This window comes from Homo sapiens, chromosome 4, assembly GCF_000001405.40.
Source record: "Homo sapiens chromosome 4, GRCh38.p14 Primary Assembly".
Taxonomy (NCBI): Eukaryota; Metazoa; Chordata; class Mammalia; order Primates; family Hominidae; genus Homo; species Homo sapiens.
In genome coordinates, this window is record NC_000004.12 from 158,207,100 (window position 1) to 158,225,685 (window position 18,586).

Consider the following 18,586-nt stretch of genomic DNA (forward strand, 5'->3'; position numbering starts at 1 on the left):
TTGTAGCTGTAAGTATCAGAGGCTTCTATTTTCTCTAATATCTTTCTTTTTGTCTCCCCTATTTGTTGTCTTTGGGTTTTCCTAGAGACTCATTTTTAAGCAGAGTCTGTGTCTTGCAACTCTCTCTAGTTGTGATCCACAGTTATTATACCAAAACACTATTTATGTGGTCGTAAGATATTGGAGAGTTGATACATTCTATAATGTTATGATAAAATCTCTATTTTTAAATTCTTATTTCTTTTTAAACAATTTTAGATTCAGGAGGCACATGTGCAGGTTTCCTACATGGATAGATTCTGTAATGGTGAGGTTTGGGCTTCTAGTAAACCCATCACCCAAATAGTAAACATTACAGCCAATAGATAATTTTCAATCTGCTCTCCTCTCCCACGTTTCCCTGTTTTGGAGTCCCTAGCATCTATTATTTTACCTTTATGTCCATGTGTACCCATTGTTTAGCTCCCACTTATAAGTGAGAACATGCAGTACTTGATTTTCTGTCTGAGTTATTTCACTTAGGATAATGGCCTCTAGCTCCATTCATGTTGCTGCAAAGGACATGATTTCACTCCTTTTTATGGCTGCGTAATATTCCATAGTTTATATATACCACATCTTCTTTATCCAATCAACTACTGATGGACACTTAGGATGATTCCTAATTGTGAATAGTACCCCAATAAATATATGAGTGCCAGTGTCATTGATTATAACAATTTCTTTTCCTTCAAGTAGATACCCAATAGTGGGATTGCTGGGCCAAATGGTACTTCTATTTTCAGTTATTTGAGAAATCCCCATACTGTTTTCCGTAGGGGTTTTACTAGTTTACATTGTCATTAACAGTATATACGCATTCCCTTTTCTCTGTATCTTTGCCAACATCTAAAACTCTGTTTTCTAGTTGTCCAGAATCCCTGAGCTGTGAACTTCATAAGGGTTTCTTCTTTTGTTTTTCTCCTTATGTGAGAAAGAAAGTGTAGAAGGTGTTCAAACTGTCTAGTTGCCTTTTCTCTAATTCAGATAAAGCTCTGGGGTAAAGTTTACCTTGAGGACAGGCTTTTGTTTCTGAGTATATTTCAAATAGTTATTGTTTTCCTCCCACATGCCAGAAAAAAGAGGAAACTTTTGTCCTGTCTTCTGAAAGTAAAACTCATTAATGTGTGGATGCTCCCATATGAATGACTCCCACTGTCTCTGAGTTTTCAACTCTCAAGTTAGTCCACACTCAGCCTTCAGCAATAGGCCAAATACTGTATAAATGCCCCCCTATCCTTTACTGGCTCCAGTGGCTTTTGCTGTCCTGATAAGCTGTAATTCTCCGTATTCACCTATTTCTTCAGTTTGCAAAGAGGTGGCATGTCCTATGACATCAATTCTCTGCAGATCTAAAAAGAGTAGTTGATTTTTGATTTGCTCATTTTTTTCTTGTTGTGATGATGGAAGTGGAGACTTTCACACCTTTCAAATGTCAGAGCAGAAACCAGAAGTCCTAGTAATAATGTTATATATATATATATATATATATATATATATATATATATATATATATATATATCTCTTTTGACCACATAAAAGGGGGAGGTGCACAGGTCTTATTATTATCATTTTACATATAAGAAAACTAAGGTTTAAAGAGATTAAATGAGTTTCCATGAGAAATATTGCTAACAGACGAAGCTAAAGTCAGAACCTGGATCTTCTAGTGTCTGCCAGGACTCTCCCAATACAGACCATTCTGTTTAGGCATTCATGTATACGAAACAATTTGAAAGAAAAATTTTAGTTTAAGAATAGAGTCATGCATGTTTGGATTTGCTCTGTGGCATAATGTAAAAGGCAATGGCCTAGCATATCCCTAATGAATCTTCTCAGGCCTAATTCAGCCCCCAACTCACTTTTAGACTTTAGAAATTCTCAGCAAATGCTGACACAAGCTTCAGTTTCTCCATGTGAGTGAAGCAAGAATAAACCACATGATCTTGTGACCATGAAGTGAAACAATTCTAGGTTGGATTTAGGCCCTATATTTTTGGAAGCAAGTTTGTGTATGTGTGTGTGTCTTAGGTGTGCATGTGTGGAAAGGGGAACTGATTTCTTCAAAATCTTTCTGAACTGCTAAATTAATCCTCTTCCTTAAGTGAAAAAGCTTTGCTGCTTTAATTCTTTAAATGAAATGTTATTTTGCCTTCCCATCTGCTCATCTGACATGATAGTCTATGGATGTGATTAATGTTTAAGGCAGAACTTCCTTCTAGGAAATGTCATATTTTAACAGTCCTTGTGTTTTCTCCTTCCTGTGAATGCTACACCCATTACCAACCACTGGATGGTCTCGGGTTAAATAGCACTTCCTCAGAGAAGGCTTCTTTGAACTCAGACTAGCACAGAACCTACACTTCCCCTTTCCAACTTAAAGTTTGCATCCTTTGGTGTATGCGAACCCACATGAAGAGATGTTTTTTTTGTTTTGTTTTTTTTTTGAGAGGACTCCCTCACTTTGGGAGGGCGAGGCGGGCGGATCACCTGAGGTCAGGAGATCGAGACCATCCTGGCTAACACGGTGAAACCCCGTCTCTACTAAAAATACAAAAAAATTAGCCAGGTGTGGTGGTGGGTGCCTGTAGTCCCAGCTACTCAGGAGGCTGAGGCAGGAGAATCGCTTGAACCCAGGAGGCGGAGGTTGCAGGGAGCCGAGATTGCACCACTGCACTCCAGCTTGGACGAGAGCGAGACTCCGTCTTAAAAAAAAAAAATACAGATAAATGGCCTGTACAGATAAATGGCTTAGGTGCATCTACAAAGAATTAGTGATTACAAGTGAAATCTTGTAATGTCACAAGAAATGTTAATGACGTCAGTGGTGCAGATGAATTTCTTAATACCAAGTGGAAAAATTCACTTGAGATAATCTTTTACAATGGTGTGAAATTCCTCAGACTTTTGTTTTATCCATAAACTGCACAAATAATACCTCCCTCTGTGACACTTAGAGAGGGTGACATGCTGAGAGTTTCCTGAATAATCACCTCTTGAAATACACAAAACTCTTCTAGTTTCCTGGTTGACCGACCCAGGGCTTGACGACTCCTTTTGAGCCACCTGACAATTCAGTCCAGCACAGCAACTGAAGGAAGGCGTTCCCCAACCTGCTGTCCTATGAAGGCCTCTAGGTCACCGGTGCTAAAGCCCTCCTTTCTCCACCCTCCTTAAGTGGAGGTAAACGTCCCAGCAGGAAGTCAAGGCTGGATTGGCGCTCTTCGCGAGCACCCTGGGAACGGGAGTCTGGGTCACGGGTGCTAGAGCCCTCCCCTCTCCTCCCGGCCGGTGTATGGGAAATTGTCCCCGCAGAAAGTAAAGGCTGGCCAGGCCGCCCCCAGCACGTAGAGGGAATGAGTCAGGCTCCGGCTCCACACTGGCACGTAGTGGGCGGATCGCGCCGGCGCTGAGTAGGAAGGAGCTTCAGCCGCCAGCCCGGAACGCAGTGAGTACAGCCACTCAAAGGAAAGCCAAGTCGCTTTGCAGGGGAGCGTCTCATGATTTTTCAGAAACGTGCTCATGGTTAAAAAGAAAAATCAAGGCTCGGAATAAATACATTCAAGCACTGTTAATTTTAGCCCAAAGACAGGCGGTACTTGCCTGGAGATTTGGGAAAATCAACATGAAACTAAAAATGAAATTTTAGTTGGAGTGGAGCAAGCAGTATTGATCAGAACATACCAAATACGAATTTTTTCAAAGTCTGCGTAGAAGTTTAAATTACTAGGAAAAATGTAAAGGAGAAGTATTTACTAATAAATGAAACAAAAGTAATAAAATAAAAATGAATTAATATAGTTTGACAAAATATCAGCGAACGCTGAAAAGAAAACATTAAAATAATGTTTGAGACTTTTTAGGTTTTGTGCAGGAAGAATTGGGAAAAATGTGCTGGATGGAGTGATACTGCTTTTCTTTTCCACAAAAATTTCATTATTTTAGAGAGCGGTAGAGCCTTTTTAAAGACAGTAAGTTATTGCCAATTCACAATGAAATAAGATCACATGCTCTGAAATGTACAAGAGCTGCATGCAATAAACTTCATTTATCTATAGGTAATAACTGATTGATGTTTATTCAGTAGTCGAAATGCACCTCATGCACTCTAATTAGCACGTCAAATTAGTCTCTCCGTTTCAGAGGTGTAGGGCCTTTGTGGAGCCTTCTCAATAAAATAATTTGCCACTCTTGAAGGTTAGACATTCTCTTCTATCAATGTACACATAAAGGTTTTGTTTTGCTTTGCTTGTTGTGAATTAAAATGGGGAGAAAATGATGTGTTAGCTATCACCCAGTCATGTGTCTTTTTAGTCATAGGTTAGCTTTTCAAGACACTTCCTGCATCTCTGACCTGTTGCACCTCTGTTATCTTGGCACCTCTGTTATCTTAGCAGCAAGCACCTGCCTCAGCTGACCCTTGAGCCATAACCCATGTAAGTCACTGCAGGGCTGAACCTCTCTTTGAGCCTAACAGTAGAATAATAATTATTTTTATTGAATAGTGTTAATGTGTCAATGTTGAAATGTGCCTCAGTGTGTCTTCCTCAACCACATCCCTATAGAGGATGTTTTCTTAATAGCAATGTGTTTTTGTTTTAAGAAAGTCCACACAATTTCAAATACACATTTTCTTTACTAAAGTTTATTGACCAGTTTTGAAGTGATCCTTGTTTTCAGTTAAACTATCTTTAATAATGGTAAATAACATATTTTGTAGGTTGTTGTATATTTAATATTCTCTGCAAGAACACATAAGGAACAATACATGGACCTTTAAATATTTGTCATTGTGAAATAAAATAACAAGGAAAGGTGATTTCAGGTGTACTTTATTCAATACATATATACAAGAAGTTATTACTATAACATTAAATTTGCAGGAAAAAAGAAACCACTGGATTATTCTGCTTCTATTCCAGAGGGCTTATTCCAAAGGGCCAGTGTGCAAAATATGAATCCAAGATGGCATTGTGGAAAGACGCTGTACCTCCTGTGATAAAATTACTTTGGTGGTGCTTTTTTCTCATGTATCTCGGGAAACTAAAAATCTGAATTGTATTCAGTGGCCTTTTCCAAATGGTAACTTTATGAAAAAATGTCTAATTCTTGGTTATTTGTGGTTTTAGTCCTTTCTTCATAGAGAAGCTAAAGCTGTTAAATAAGCTTAGCAGCGTTATCCGCTAAAACTTTCTGCAGTGATGGAACCTACACAGGAGAATTTTTTTTGTAATGTACTAAAAATTTGTCTTCAGGGCTTGTTCTTTTTAAATTGTAGGCTAGTGATCAAAAATATTTGGTGATAGAATAAATTAACATGAAGTACAAACATTATATATAGTTGTGTAATATCCTATCTGCAAAAAGGAGTCTTAGCGTGCTTTTGAAAAATTCAATAAATATAATATGTTAATCACAATTTGGTCACAGATTCACGTCTCAATTGTTTCATTTTTTCTTTTATTTCAGAAGCTCCTGAAAAGTACATCAAGTCTAAAGTGAACCAGCTAACTCATTAAGACTGGAATCATGAGCAACAATGGAGCAGACCTAACCTTTGGTTACATCTCCTGTTTTGTAGCTATCCTTTTGTTTGGCTCAAATTTTGTGCCACTTAAAAAATTTGATACTGGTGATGGTAATTATTTTTCCTTGATTGTTAACGTTATATTATTTTTAAAAATGAAGTTCCTTTTTTGGTCTTTTAAAAGTATAGCTACAAAAATAAATCATGTTGATCTTGATACCTAGTGAATAGAGCTTAAAATTAGTCATTTGACAGTGCTCATACCAGTTTGTCTGAAAGTCAGAATAGGAGAACCATTAAGGTTGTTTCATGGTAAAGTTAGGGAGGGTACAGTCAGGAAATCTCTTGGGCCATTATATGAATGGAAGAAATTTATAGTCAGTTCTACTATAACACCTGTTTTGAAAACATGAATCTTCAACATGATTGATATATTAGAGAACAATGTAAGCATAACAGATTTTTGGCTTGCTTATGTGCAATTTTGTCCCTGAGAAACCTCTAGATAGGCACAGAAGACTGCACCTAGATGAATAAAGATGTGTGATAATACACATAATGCACGCAGACACACGTACAATCTTCAAATATCGACCAGCTCCCTTAGTTCATCACATGTGGTTATGATGTATTCCACCCAACCACATCTCCTGTCCCAACTCCTCACCCAATACCTTCACAGTAACTCGTAAGCTGCAACCCTTTGGATGCTCACTTCCAGGAGCAAACTTCTGGTGTTTTTCAATTAAAATGCCCTATTTATTACAGCATCATGTAATTAACCAGTTAACCAGTTAAAACTGTACTACTATTTTAATTAGGTTGAGTGTTGTTCTCCTAGCCCCATTTTCCCATTATGCTCTGTAGTTTTTACTGCATGATTTTGCATAGTGCAGTGATTTCAAGGAATGCACATGTTACATTATAGCAGAACTGACTAATGTGAATTTTGGGGAAGGAGAAGCAAGAGTTATTTGTATTTGCCTGACTTCCATATTAAAGCCAGGAGAAGGAATTGAGATTTATGGTGAACACATGTTGGGAATTACTTCCTTGGTAGTATTTATCACCTGACAGCAGTTGTGTTATTTCCCCAATTCTTTGTCTTCGTGCACTTAGAAAATAGGATTACCTCCTATTTTCCTCCAGGGCCTTTCTTCTCTTTTCCTCTGGAGTTAGGACAAGAATGGGAACTACCCGAAGAACAAAAAAATGGGTAGAGGATCTAGCTTTTTTAGTCTTCCACAATTAGCTTTGTGATCCTGGGCAAATATTACCAGCTCTGCTGTTTTCAGTTTCTCATTTGTAAAGTGAACAACTTATAAAATGAAGTTTCTTTTCATCTCTGTGATTCTACTCTTTTTATTTTTTATTTTTCATTTTTTTGGGGAGATAGAGTCTCACTCTTTCACCGAGGATGGAGTGAAGTATCATAATCTTGGCTCACAGCAACCTCCACCTTTAGGGTTCAAGTGATTCTCATGTCTCAGCCTGCCAAGTAGCTGGAACTACAGGCACACACTACCACACCCGGCTAATTTCTTATATTTATGGTAGAGACGGAATCTCAAGGGCTGGTCTCGAACTCCTGAGCTCAGGCAGTCCACCTACTTTGGCCTCCCAAAGTGCTAGGATTACAGGCCTAAGCCACCACGCCTGGCTGATTCTACTCTTTTGTCATGGAGATTAGCAGCCATCTTTTCTCTCTCCTCCATCATGAGATTGAATCCAAGAGGGGCAACAATCTTCCAAAGTTAGTGCCAGAAGTAATACATTGAGTTTTAACTGCCTCAGTATTTCTTTCAATGTCAACTATTTCCTCATCCTTTTAATCTCTAAATCCTTAATGATGCAGAAGCCTCAAAAAGGTACAGATACACCTCATCACCAGGTTATCTTCAGATAACTGGAAAATGGCAACTCAAAGTATAGAAAGCAGAGTAACCTTGACCTAGATAGCTAATTCTCAGGTTTATAATGCCCGACTCATCATAGGCATTGAACTCTAACTGTATGAGGCCTATGTGTGACCATAAATGGCTTTATTTTTATCCCAGAGGTGGCATAAATGGTCCCTGAAGGTTTACTGTTGTGCTATTCCGAAGCACTTACTGCCATATTTTGGGAAGCAAGAGTACTCAGTGTGGCATCTGAATGAGAATATACACTCGGTCTTGCCATCACTCTTGGGCAGAAAATTCTTGATTTGTCTAATAGGAGGAAAAAAAGAATGTTAAGCCAGAGCACACCGTGTCTAAGCCTTGGAGTCAACCTGGGTTTAAATTCCAGCTCAACAAACTACTAGCTGTTTGGACAGGTTGCTTAATTGAAGATTCATTTTCTCTATCTTTGAGCTAGGGTTAATTATGTTGCAGAGTAGTCATAAGAATGAAATGTGCAAAGTCCATGGCATATGGCATTTAATAAATTGTGGCCATTCCTGTAATATCACCTCATAGATATTCCTGAGCACAAATTTACTCAATTCAATTTGAACCACTAACACTGAGTTTGTTTATTTCTAGGAATGTTTCTCCAGTGGGTTCTTTGTGCTGCCATATGGTTGGTTGCCTTGGTTGTCAATCTGATATTACATTGTCCAAAGTTTTGGCCTTTTGCAATGCTTGGGGGCTGCATTTGGGCAACAGGTAATGTCTGATATAACTTATACTTTTATTATGTAACATAATGATAAAAATAATTCTCGTTCACAATAGGAGGAAATAGCGCAAACAGTGATTCTGAATAACCCTTAGTCATAGATACTAGAAATTAACTAGTTTCTTGCCTTCACATGCTCAATGAATATTTTTGGTGCCTTACCTGATTTGTTCCACCTGATTTATTCCTCTTAATGATTTATTTTTAAGTTCCTGGTAGAAAATTATTATAGTAAAAACATTTTAATTATTCTCCATCTATTCAAGCATAGCTCATATATTATTTTAATGTGTTCTGGCCCTTTTTTCTAGCATGTTTATCAGAAAATATTTATTAAATAGTAATCTCTACTAATAAAATTTTTAGGACTTAACCTAATTAGGCCAATGTGAAGATACTATCATTTCAAAAGGGCTGGTTAACAGAAAAGCAAAGCAAACAAAAATCTTCCTGTTGCCTTATCAGTACCTGAAATTATATAATTAGAATTCATACCTTGGCTTGGCCAATCAAGAAATGTTTCCCTTCAATTAATATAAATACACCCCAGGAGGTCTTTTTTTCTTCAACAAAGAGAATTCCAAGTATCAGTGATCTTTAGAAATAATTTGCATTAAAAGCAAATAAATGTTAAAATGTTAAAACTTTATTAAAAAAATTAAAATGAAAATTTATTTATTACCCACTTAATTTGAGTCTCTGAGGAGTTAAATGATTTAGTGAAGTTCATAAGTTAGAAGATAAAAGAATTCGCTTTTAAATTCCCACCAGGATTTACATTATTATACCTCACTTATACCTCAGTATGATTGCTTGTCATATCTAACAGGGGGAGAGGAACAGACTAAGCATCCATCCATCCTGCAGCTCTTTATAGCCACCAGAGCATTTCTGTTCACCCAGCAGGTTCCACTGGGTGTCAGTGGGGAAAGAGTCCAATTTGAGATATGTTGCAGATGTGGATGCTATAGGTTGGAGCAACTGATAGCATATAGGACATAGCAGAATGGGAGGAGCCAATGATAATGTAGAGATTTGATTATAGGTGATTAGGAGGGTGGTGGTATTGACACATATGTGGAAATAGGAAAAAGAACATGTTTGAAAGAGAAAATGATGGGTTCAGCTTGGCACTTTCTGAGCATGAACATCCCGATGTTTCTACCATAGAGAACATCTGGTTGGAGATTTCTTCTTGATGGTTTGGAGAATAATATTAAAACCCTAAAGTAGGTCCAGGTTAGAACTGTAGCACTGGGAACACGCACCTTTAGCTGGTAGCTGAAATCATGAAATTAGGTCAAGTACCCAAAGGACAATAAAGCAAGGGGACAAATATGTTCAAGGGAAAATCTTTAGGGGGTACCTTATTCCAGAAGGAATGATGAAAAATAGTAGCCAGAGAAAGAGCTAAAGAGAAAAACAGGAGGAGACTCAAGAGATGAAGACATCATGGAATCCTAAAGAGGTAACCTTTTAAGAAGAGACTGTAGGACTTGAGACAAAAAAAAAAAAATTATGTATTTGGCCCTCAGTGACCCTCAAAACATAAGAGAATGAATGTAGAAATCCAGAAGACAAATCAGCAATCATGGAAGAGCAAATTCTGGGCCTGTTTTATGGCCAAGTACTTCTGCCAGTATTTGGCCCTAATTCAAGTCTAAGAGGATGGTCACTGATAATTTATCACTGACAGCTTCCATGAAGAATCACAGAATAGAGAGCTATGCTAAGGGAGAGAAACCTCTGTACAATTAGGAATTCAACACTTTTCTTTGTAGACTTTTTTCCTAAGCCTAGTTCTTTTAGCACACATACTCATAAATTTAATGCCAAAAATGTGGTTATTTTACTGAAAAAATAAGGAACTGTGCTTTACTAAATTTGTCCAAATCACATGCACTTCAGTTGAAGTTAGAATAAAAACTAATTCTATTTATAAATGTATTTTCTATATGGAAATAACATGTTTCTTCTGTATATTACATCTACAGGGAACATTGCTGTTGTCCCAATTATCAAAACCATTGGTTTAGGCCTTGGAATCTTAATCTGGGGATCATTTAATGCCTTAACTGGCTGGGCAAGCTCAAGGTAATTCAAGTCAAACTAGTTCAACTAAGATTTCCTGCATCCATATTCTATGTAAAGCAAGTGATTACCGAGAGGAATAACATATGATTCTTATTCTCACAGAGTTTATAGCTGGTAAAACATACACATCATATATGCCACCTTCTATTGCTATTTGCCCTAAATTCTTAATAAGTGATCTAGATATTTGATCAAGATATAGTGTAGCATTAAATCTGGGAAACAGAGGTAGAGAGAGAAAAAGGAAACTGATTTTTATTGTCCCTTTCTATTGTGTGACAATTTGCTGGACATGTTCTATGCATCATTCTCATCTCACTTTCACAAATACGTGAGGTAAGCACTATCTTATAAGAGAGTAGATAAAAAGAGATTAAGTAACTTACTGTAGGTCACAGAACTAAGAAGCTAGGATTCAAACCCAGGTCTTCTAGTTCCAGAGCACATATTCTTTCCTCTAGAGCAGGGTTGGCAAAGCACGGTCTGGTTTCCCAGCCATTTCTATAAATAACGTTTTATCAGAACACAGCCAAACCCATCCATTTAAGGATTGTCTATGGCTATTTTTATGTTACAGTGGCAGAGTTGAGCAGCAAGGGAATAACTGACCCACAAAGCCTAAATTATCTACAACCGCCTTCGAGAAAAAGTTTGCCAGTCCCAGCTCTAGCGTTGTGTTGTCCAATAGTGTAGCCAGAAGCCACAGGAGGCCATTTATATTTAAATTTAAATTAATTAAAAGTTGATAAAATTAAACCTCCAGTTTTTTGGTTGCACTAGCCACATTTGATGTGCTCAGTAGCTAATATGGGGAGAGGCTACTCTTTTGTGCAGTGAAGATAGAGAACAGTCCCATCATTACACAAAGTTCTATCAGACTGGTGCCCTTGGTCAGCATTAAGATTAACATTCAAATCAATTTTGGGAAAATGAGTGGAATGTGGGGTGTTATTCTCACTTTACCTTTTGGACTCCCTTTCCACTCAAAGCATTATAACCACCTCAAAACAACAAAACAAACCAACTTACTAACTTCCAATACATTCTCTCCCATCCTTCCCCCATTCCCCACCTCCTGCTATTTTCTTTTTCTTTTCCTTCTTTTCTCCTTTCCTCTTGCCCCTGGATGGTTCTCAGTGATTCTTGGTAATGATCACGGCAATGTCAGGCAGGAAAAAAAAATTGTGGTGATGACAGAGTAGGGATATTTAACCTAGAAATTTTTTAAAAGTCTACTCCAAATATTATACAATATTGTAACCAATTAATTAACCTTCCATGAGTCAGGTGAACTACTTTTTCCTACTTCTTTTTTAGTCTTAGGAAAGAGACACTCACAAGTACTTTTATGTATACTAACTCATTTAATCTTTGTAACAAACTTATAAGGTAGGTATAATTATTATCCCATTTTAAACATGGGAGGCTGGGCACGTTGGCTAACGCCTATAATCTCAGCACTTTGGGAGATCGAGGTGGGTGGATCGCTTGATTTCAGGAATTCAAGACCAGTGAAACCCTGTCTCTACTAAAAATACAAAAATTAGCCAGGCGTGGTAACAGGCACCTGTAGTCCCAGCTACTTGGGAGGCTGAGGCAGGAGAATAGGTTGAATTCAGGAGGCAGAGGTTGCAGTGAGCCAAGATCATACCACTGTACTCCAGCCTGGATGACAGAGCAAGCCTCCATCTCAAAAAAAAATTTTTTTTTAATTTAAAAAAATTGGAAATTGAGGCACAGTGAAGATAATTAACTTTCCCAAAGTCACAGCTAATAAGTGAGAGAGCTAGCATTTGAACCCAGGAATCTGGCCCCTAGTCCATGCCCTTAAACATTATGGTGAAACATCTTAACAATATTTAATTTGATGTGACTTTCTGGATTTTCAGGTTTGGCTGGTTTGGATTGGATGCAGAAGAAGTATCAAATCCGCTGCTAAATTACATTGGAGCTGGGCTATCAGTAGTAAGGTACACAGTCATTTCTAGTGATTTTGCTGTTCTTCAAAACATGGAGAGTGCTTTTTTAAGGATCCTGCTATGTTTACATTTTTTAAACCTACATTTCGTAAAATCCACATGCTTGTTCCTCAGATTCTTCATTTACAATGACTGGTTTTAGAGGACAAAAAGTGCCAGATTTGGGGGCAGGGGCAGCCCCAGCTTTAGCTCTCCAAAACTCTGAGAGCCTGGAAAATCATTTAACTGCTCTTAAGCTTAGTTTTATCATCTATAATATGTAGAAAATCATAACACATAGCTTATCAATGAGAATCATATATTTTGCAAACTAAAACATGCTATTCAGAAAAAGCATTCTGCTGGCTTCCTGATGCCCCTGGAGTAGTCACTGATTCTCTCTTCTATGTACTACTCACTTCCTATCTCACCTAGTTTCCACTTCCCCTGTCTCCTCACTCACTCTTCTCAACCTAGCTAGACAGCTCCTCTTTCACCTGTGAGAACACATACTCTTTTGAATGCCCATGTTTGGTTGCATCTGTGTCTAGCTGTATGCACTCTACGAATAAGGGTGAAAATGACTTTGAATCTCTGTATGGCAGTGTTCAGTCCATAAAACTTAACAGGAACTGGGTCACCTTAAATTCAGTCTTCTTTCCCCTCTGGATTCCATTTATATTCCCTGTCAGTTCTTCACATAATGGATAGTACTGCCTAGAAAGATTTTAGTACTTTTTTATTCTTAGGGAAAGAACAGTATATTTGCCTTCCTTCAGCAATGATGGCTTTTCCCCAGGCACATTCAGGAACAATCTCTTTGTCATTGAAATGTTGCCTTAGAGAGTAGTCCCAGGCCAATTGGAGAAAAAGATAACATAAATTATTCTAAAATAGCAGATTCCTGACTTTTTTTGGTTAGAGGCAATTTTATGTATTTTGTATAATTCACACAGAATTCTAGCTCTGAATAGCTCTCTCAAAAACAATTTCTTTACACACCAAAATTGTAACATAGGATGGCTTAGTTTTGACTTAATGACAATTGAAGGCCAGTTTACCCAGTCTATCAGGCATTGTTTTCCTCCATATTTCTTCTTTATTTAGAAAAAGTACATTCTCTAAAATTGCAAATCAATTATTCATGTTCTACCACTTCCACCTATGTGGCCATGGGCAAATAACTTCAGTTCTCCAAGCTTTGGTTTCTTCATTTGTAGAGGGATAATAATAGCACCAACCTCATAAAGTATTTTGAGGGTTAAATGAAATAAAATATGTTTAGTGCTTCATATAGTGCTAATTACATGGTTAATGCTCTACATATTAGTTGCCATTACAATTATTTTATTAATAACATTTATGTTCAATTACTGTTTCCCTGTTGGGTATTTGTTGCCCAACTTTATGTTACAGTAGGCAGTGCACCTGAGGAACCCTGTAGCTCAATTTGAACTTGGTCTGTAGCAGGGAAATTCAAGAACTCTTCCCGTAGTGCATCTAGGCTCCCTTCTATGTTTCTCTGCTAAGAGGAATTTCTGGAATATGTCATTTCATTATTTTAACTCAGTTAAATCAGTTTGTTCTGAAGGGTATTCACTGAATAAACTTGGAGCTTCATGGTCCATGTTTCATGCACTTGAAATAGGGTTGCATTCGTTTAGGATATTGCTTTTCTTTTTAAAATTAAAATTATTGCTTCTATCCTCTGTATAGTCTAATTTTTAAAGGTTGGTTAATTTCTAGTCTTACATTTTCTTTATATGATATACAAAGTGTCTATCAGTCTGTATACAAAACCTCTCCAGGTATTTTAAACAGGAGAGGATTTAACACAGGAAATTGTTTGCAAGACCCAGTTGAGCAAAAGAAGGAAGGTTGTGTCACCCATAACCCTGAAGCCCACACAATACTGCTGAATTGCCTCTGCCTGACCGACTGCTCCTGCTGAAACTACTGGAGGCACCACCAAAACATAATGTCTTCTCCCATCTTCTCAAATGATGCAAGTGCCTCCCCCTGGCAGAACCTAGCTGCCAATAAAGTTTGGGAAATGTAATTTTCAGTCTTCCATGCTCCATGGTTCAGGAGAGAGTATGTAAGGGTGAGAGCAGAGCTGACACCAAGAAACAATATTCAGAACACTCTGTTAAACATTTGCTTTCTTGAAGATCCAGAAGCCAGAGGTCTATAACAAGACAGATGTCCTTTTCAATTCAAATAATAATATGATTTGGATTATCTTTAAGGACATGCTCTCCCTTCTTTTGTCTTCTCATTTAACATGCCTTTCCTGGAGGGTTATGTTTACTCCACAGCTTCATCTATTATTTTACCTTGTGAGGAAACCCAAATCATGGTTTCTAGCTGTCACCTTTCCTCAAGCCACAGCCCTTATTTCTAACTATGGACCAAACTACACATCTCTACACATACTCCACAGGTACCTCCTTTCAGTCTTATCTGAGATAACACACAGAAGGGAATGATGCTGATCAGCACTTTGCCAACACTAAACCATTTGTTCCTTTCTCTTTGCCTTCAACATTTCCCAATCAGAATTACTTTTCTTACTGGACCCTTCCCTGCAAACTGGTTCCTCTTCCTGAGTTCTCTCTCTCCATAGAAGGCCACAGTCATTCAAATTCAAAACCTGTCATCTTTATTTTTTTCCCTTTATATGCTATGACTATTCCTGTAAAAAAAATTTTGAATGTTTCACAAGTTCTTCCTCTGCTTTCCCTCGTCCCATCCTACCTACCCACTTGTATACATGTGATTGTAAAAAATCTCACATCTAGTTTCCCTGGTTCCATTCTTCCCTTTTGCCAGTATGGATAGTTGATATCTGCCCTACATCAGGGCATGTCATTGTCCTGTTTAAAAACCTTTGAATGTTCCCCACTGAATTCAGAATAAACTTGTCTCCTTAATCTGGCTTGTCCCTTACAGTACATCTATTCAGCCAGTGTTTCTACACGTTTCACCTTTCTCCCTGTATTGTGCATTCATTGACCCAGGATTACACCACACTCCAGACATCTCCCTCAGCCTTGAAAGCCTTTTCCTCAGCCTCCTTGGCCATCATTTAATATCATTTGAGATTGTTCCATCCCATGTGATGTTTTCTTGATTTTCTTCTCTCTAGTTAGACTCTTCCCCTAAACTACCAAAACTTTTTGTGCTTCTTCCATTATTGAAACTATCAGAGTCTACTTTGTATTACTTATACAGTCCTCTTTATTCCTGAACTATGATTTCCTGAAGGACAAGGCCCATTATTTTCTATATACACCATTCCTCCCACCATCACCATCAAACTTTCATATATAGTGTTTTACACATAATTGATGCTTAGTAAATGTTTGTTGACTTCAGTTGTCGGCGTAACTGCACGTGCACACACACAATTTTTACTAAGTGTGTGATGTACGGGATTGCAAATCTAGGGAAGCTGGAAAGCTTGAAAATGTAAAGAAGAATCATTGGGTAAAACATCAAGTTTCCTTTTAAATTACCTATGCCTTTGACGGCATTCATAGACTTTATCATGGAACTTTGTATTTGATGTACTGCACCAAGTTATTTTAAGTCTGTAGCCCAAAACACCTTGTGATTTATTTGGTTTTATGTTCATATACATAAAATAAATTTGATCACCTTCTCCTTACTTACTGCCACCCACTCCCTTGATCTAACTGACTGGGACTCTTCTTTCTGATTTACCTATTCTTATGACTAGCATTAGTTGCACAGGCTCAAAATCATTGTGTATTCCTAATTTCTTTTTCATGCTCAGCACCCCGTCACCTATCCATTTGGTAATTAAGGCTTTCTCTTTACTAACATGTTTTCAGATTTTATTTTGTGCCAGAAGTACACTGAGAATTGTGTATGCATTCTCATTTGATTTTCACCACAGCTCTGTGATGAGTGTATATCCCCATTTTTTAGTTGAAAACTGTCAAGTCTCAGGGAGTGATTTGTTGGAGGGTTGTACACCTGTTTGAAGTAAAACAATCAAGAGCCTTATCTATAGTGTCCTTTTATTTATTTATTCATTTATTTTTTTTACTTTAAGTTCCAGGATACATGTGCAGAACGTGCAGGATTGTTACATAGGTACATGTGTACCATGGTGGTTTGCTGCACCTATTGACCCATCCTTTAAGTTCCCTCCCCTTGCCCACCACCCTCCAACAGGCCGTGGTGTGTGTTGTTCCCCTCCCTGTGTCCACGTATTCTCACTGTTTAACTCCAACTTATGAGTGAGAACATGCAGTGTTTGGTTTTCTGTTCCTATGTTAGTTTGCTGAGGATGATGGCTTCCAGCCTCATCCATGTCTCTGCAAAGGACATGACCTCATTCCTCTTTATGGCTGCAAAGTATTCCATGGTGTATATGTACCACACTTTCTTTATCCAGTCTATCATTGATGGGCATTTGGGTTGGTTTCATGACTTTGCTATTGTAAATAGTGCTGCAATAAGCATACATGTGCATGTGTCTTTATAATAGAATGATTTATATTCCTTTGGGTATATACCCAGTAATGGGATTGCTGGGTCAAATGGTATTTCTGGTTCTAGATCCTTGAGGAATCACCATACTGTCTTCCACAATGGTTGAACTAATTTATATTCCACCAACAGTGTAAAAGCATTCCTATTTCTCCACAGCTTCGCCAGCATCTATTGTTTCTCTTTTTTTTAATAATCGCCATTCTGACTGGCCTGAGATGGTATCTCATTGTGGTTTTGATTTGCATTTCTCTAATGATCAGTGATGTTGAGCTTTTTTCATGTTTGTTGGTCATGCAAATGTCTTCTTTGGGGAAGTGTCTGTTCATATCCTTTGCCCACTTTTTGATGGAGTTGTTTGTTTTCCTCTTGTAAATTTGTTTAAGTTCCTTGTAAATTCTGGATATTAAACCTTTGTCAGACAGGCAGATTGCAAAAAATTTCTCCCATTCTGTAGGTTGCCTGTTCACTCTGATGATAGTTTCTTTTGCTGTGCAGAAGCTCTTTAGTTTAATTAGATCCCACTTATGAGATCTTTAATCTTATTTTAAAAACTGTGGTCATGGGAGGCTCAGATGAGTCATAAAACACATCAGGTTGGTCATTTCCTGGGCTACATACCTTGTATAGAATAACATTATACAAATAAGTTTTTTTAGAGTTCTCGTACACTTATAATAACCGTAAAATAATAGGACCGTAGCAACCTTTCATCCTACCTCAGTGACTTGATGTATACACTGGGAACAGCCTTCGGTCTGAGGAAGGTCAGTTGAAGTCCTTACTATACAAGTCCAAATTTTAAGGAAAATGAGTTCTGCGATGAGTTTCCTCATGCTTCGGCCATGCGTGGACCAGTCAGCTTCTGGGTGTGACTGGAGCAGGGCTTGTCGTCTTCTTCAGAGTCACTTTGCAGGGGTTGGCGAAGCTGCTCTCATCCACGTACAGCTCCCAGTCTACTGATGTTTAAGGGTGGTCTCAGAGGTTGGGCCTATTAGAATAAACTGAGTCTAATACCTCTACACAGTTATGTTCAACTGGGCTCTCTAATACCGAGAGCAAGGTGGCAGGGTCAGGGTGTTGTAAACTTCAATGGTTATGCAGGGATTTTCACAGAGCAAGCTTTGATATCTAGTTAGTCTAGCATTCATTGGCTAGTAATGTCCTTTGGTATTTATTAAAGTCACCACAGCATGGGGGGACTTTATGTTTAGGTTTTGCCTAAGAGTTAGCTTATCTGCTTCTTGTGCTAACAGGGCCATTGCTGCTAACGCCCTTAGACATGGGGGCCAGCCTTTGGAAACCCTGTCTAGTTGTTTTTTTTAGAGATAGGCCACTGGCCCTTGGCCAGGGCCCTATAGTCTGGGTTAAAACTCCAACTGCCATTTTTTTTCTGACACGTAGGGTGTAAAGGGTTTTGTCAGCTCAGTTAGCCCCAGGGCTGGGGCTGACATGAGTTTTTCTTTTAACTCATGAAAAGCTTGTTGCTGTTGGTTGTAATAGATGTAGTTTATCTAAACTACATTTTTATTAACTGTCACCCACTAAAATATTGACTTAAATCCTGTAGCTATTTGATTTTAAGCTTTAAATTGATCTGGTATTCCTTGTGGGGCCCCAATTGCATCTAAATAGATACGAGAGTTGAAAGACCTATAAGGGGCTTCTCTCACTTTACGATGTCTTATTTTTTTCTCCTTCTGGTTGATGAAATGCCAGGGTGAAAGGGATAGCCAAATGGACTAAAGCACAAGTGCCATGCTAGTTATTCGGCAGAGTGCCCAGT

The 18,586-nt window shown here is 38.1% G+C and overlaps 1 protein-coding gene across 4 annotated transcripts in view, besides 2 other annotated features; it reads left to right on the forward strand.

The window, feature by feature from the left end:
• Positions 2,775–3,329: an enhancer, noted in NCBI's record as "NANOG-H3K27ac-H3K4me1 hESC enhancer chr4:159131026-159131580 (GRCh37/hg19 assembly coordinates)". NCBI's record gives its function as "activates a minimal SCP1, AML or CMV promoter by ChIP-STARR-seq in naive H9 embryonic stem cells {active_cell/tissue: H9 hESC(naive)}" and the evidence as "EXISTENCE:reporter gene assay evidence [ECO:0000049][PMID:30033119]".
• Positions 3,230–3,319: an enhancer, noted in NCBI's record as "active region_22083". NCBI's record gives its function as "activates an Ori minimal core promoter by ATAC-STARR-seq in GM12878 lymphoblastoid cells {active_cell/tissue: GM12878}" and the evidence as "EXISTENCE:reporter gene assay evidence [ECO:0000049][PMID:35858748]".
• TMEM144 (transmembrane protein 144) overlaps positions 3,387–18,586 on the forward strand; it is a 44,931-nt gene continuing 29,731 nt past the window's right edge. For 2 of the 4 annotated variants that reach the window (NM_018342.5, XM_047415908.1), the window contains exons 1-6: positions 3,387–3,487; positions 4,354–4,475; positions 5,509–5,677; positions 8,092–8,214; positions 10,222–10,321; positions 12,211–12,291. In NM_018342.5, the coding sequence (NP_060812.2) occupies positions 5,569–5,677; positions 8,092–8,214; positions 10,222–10,321; positions 12,211–12,291 (413 nt within the window). In that variant the 5' untranslated portion in view covers positions 3,387–3,487; positions 4,354–4,475; positions 5,509–5,568. Of the gene's footprint in view, positions 3,488–4,353; positions 4,476–4,961; positions 5,122–5,508; positions 5,678–8,091; positions 8,215–10,221; positions 10,322–12,210; positions 12,292–18,586 lie in introns of all 4 variants that reach the window. The other 2 variants (XM_005263110.3, XM_017008366.2) reach the window with 2 other exon arrangements.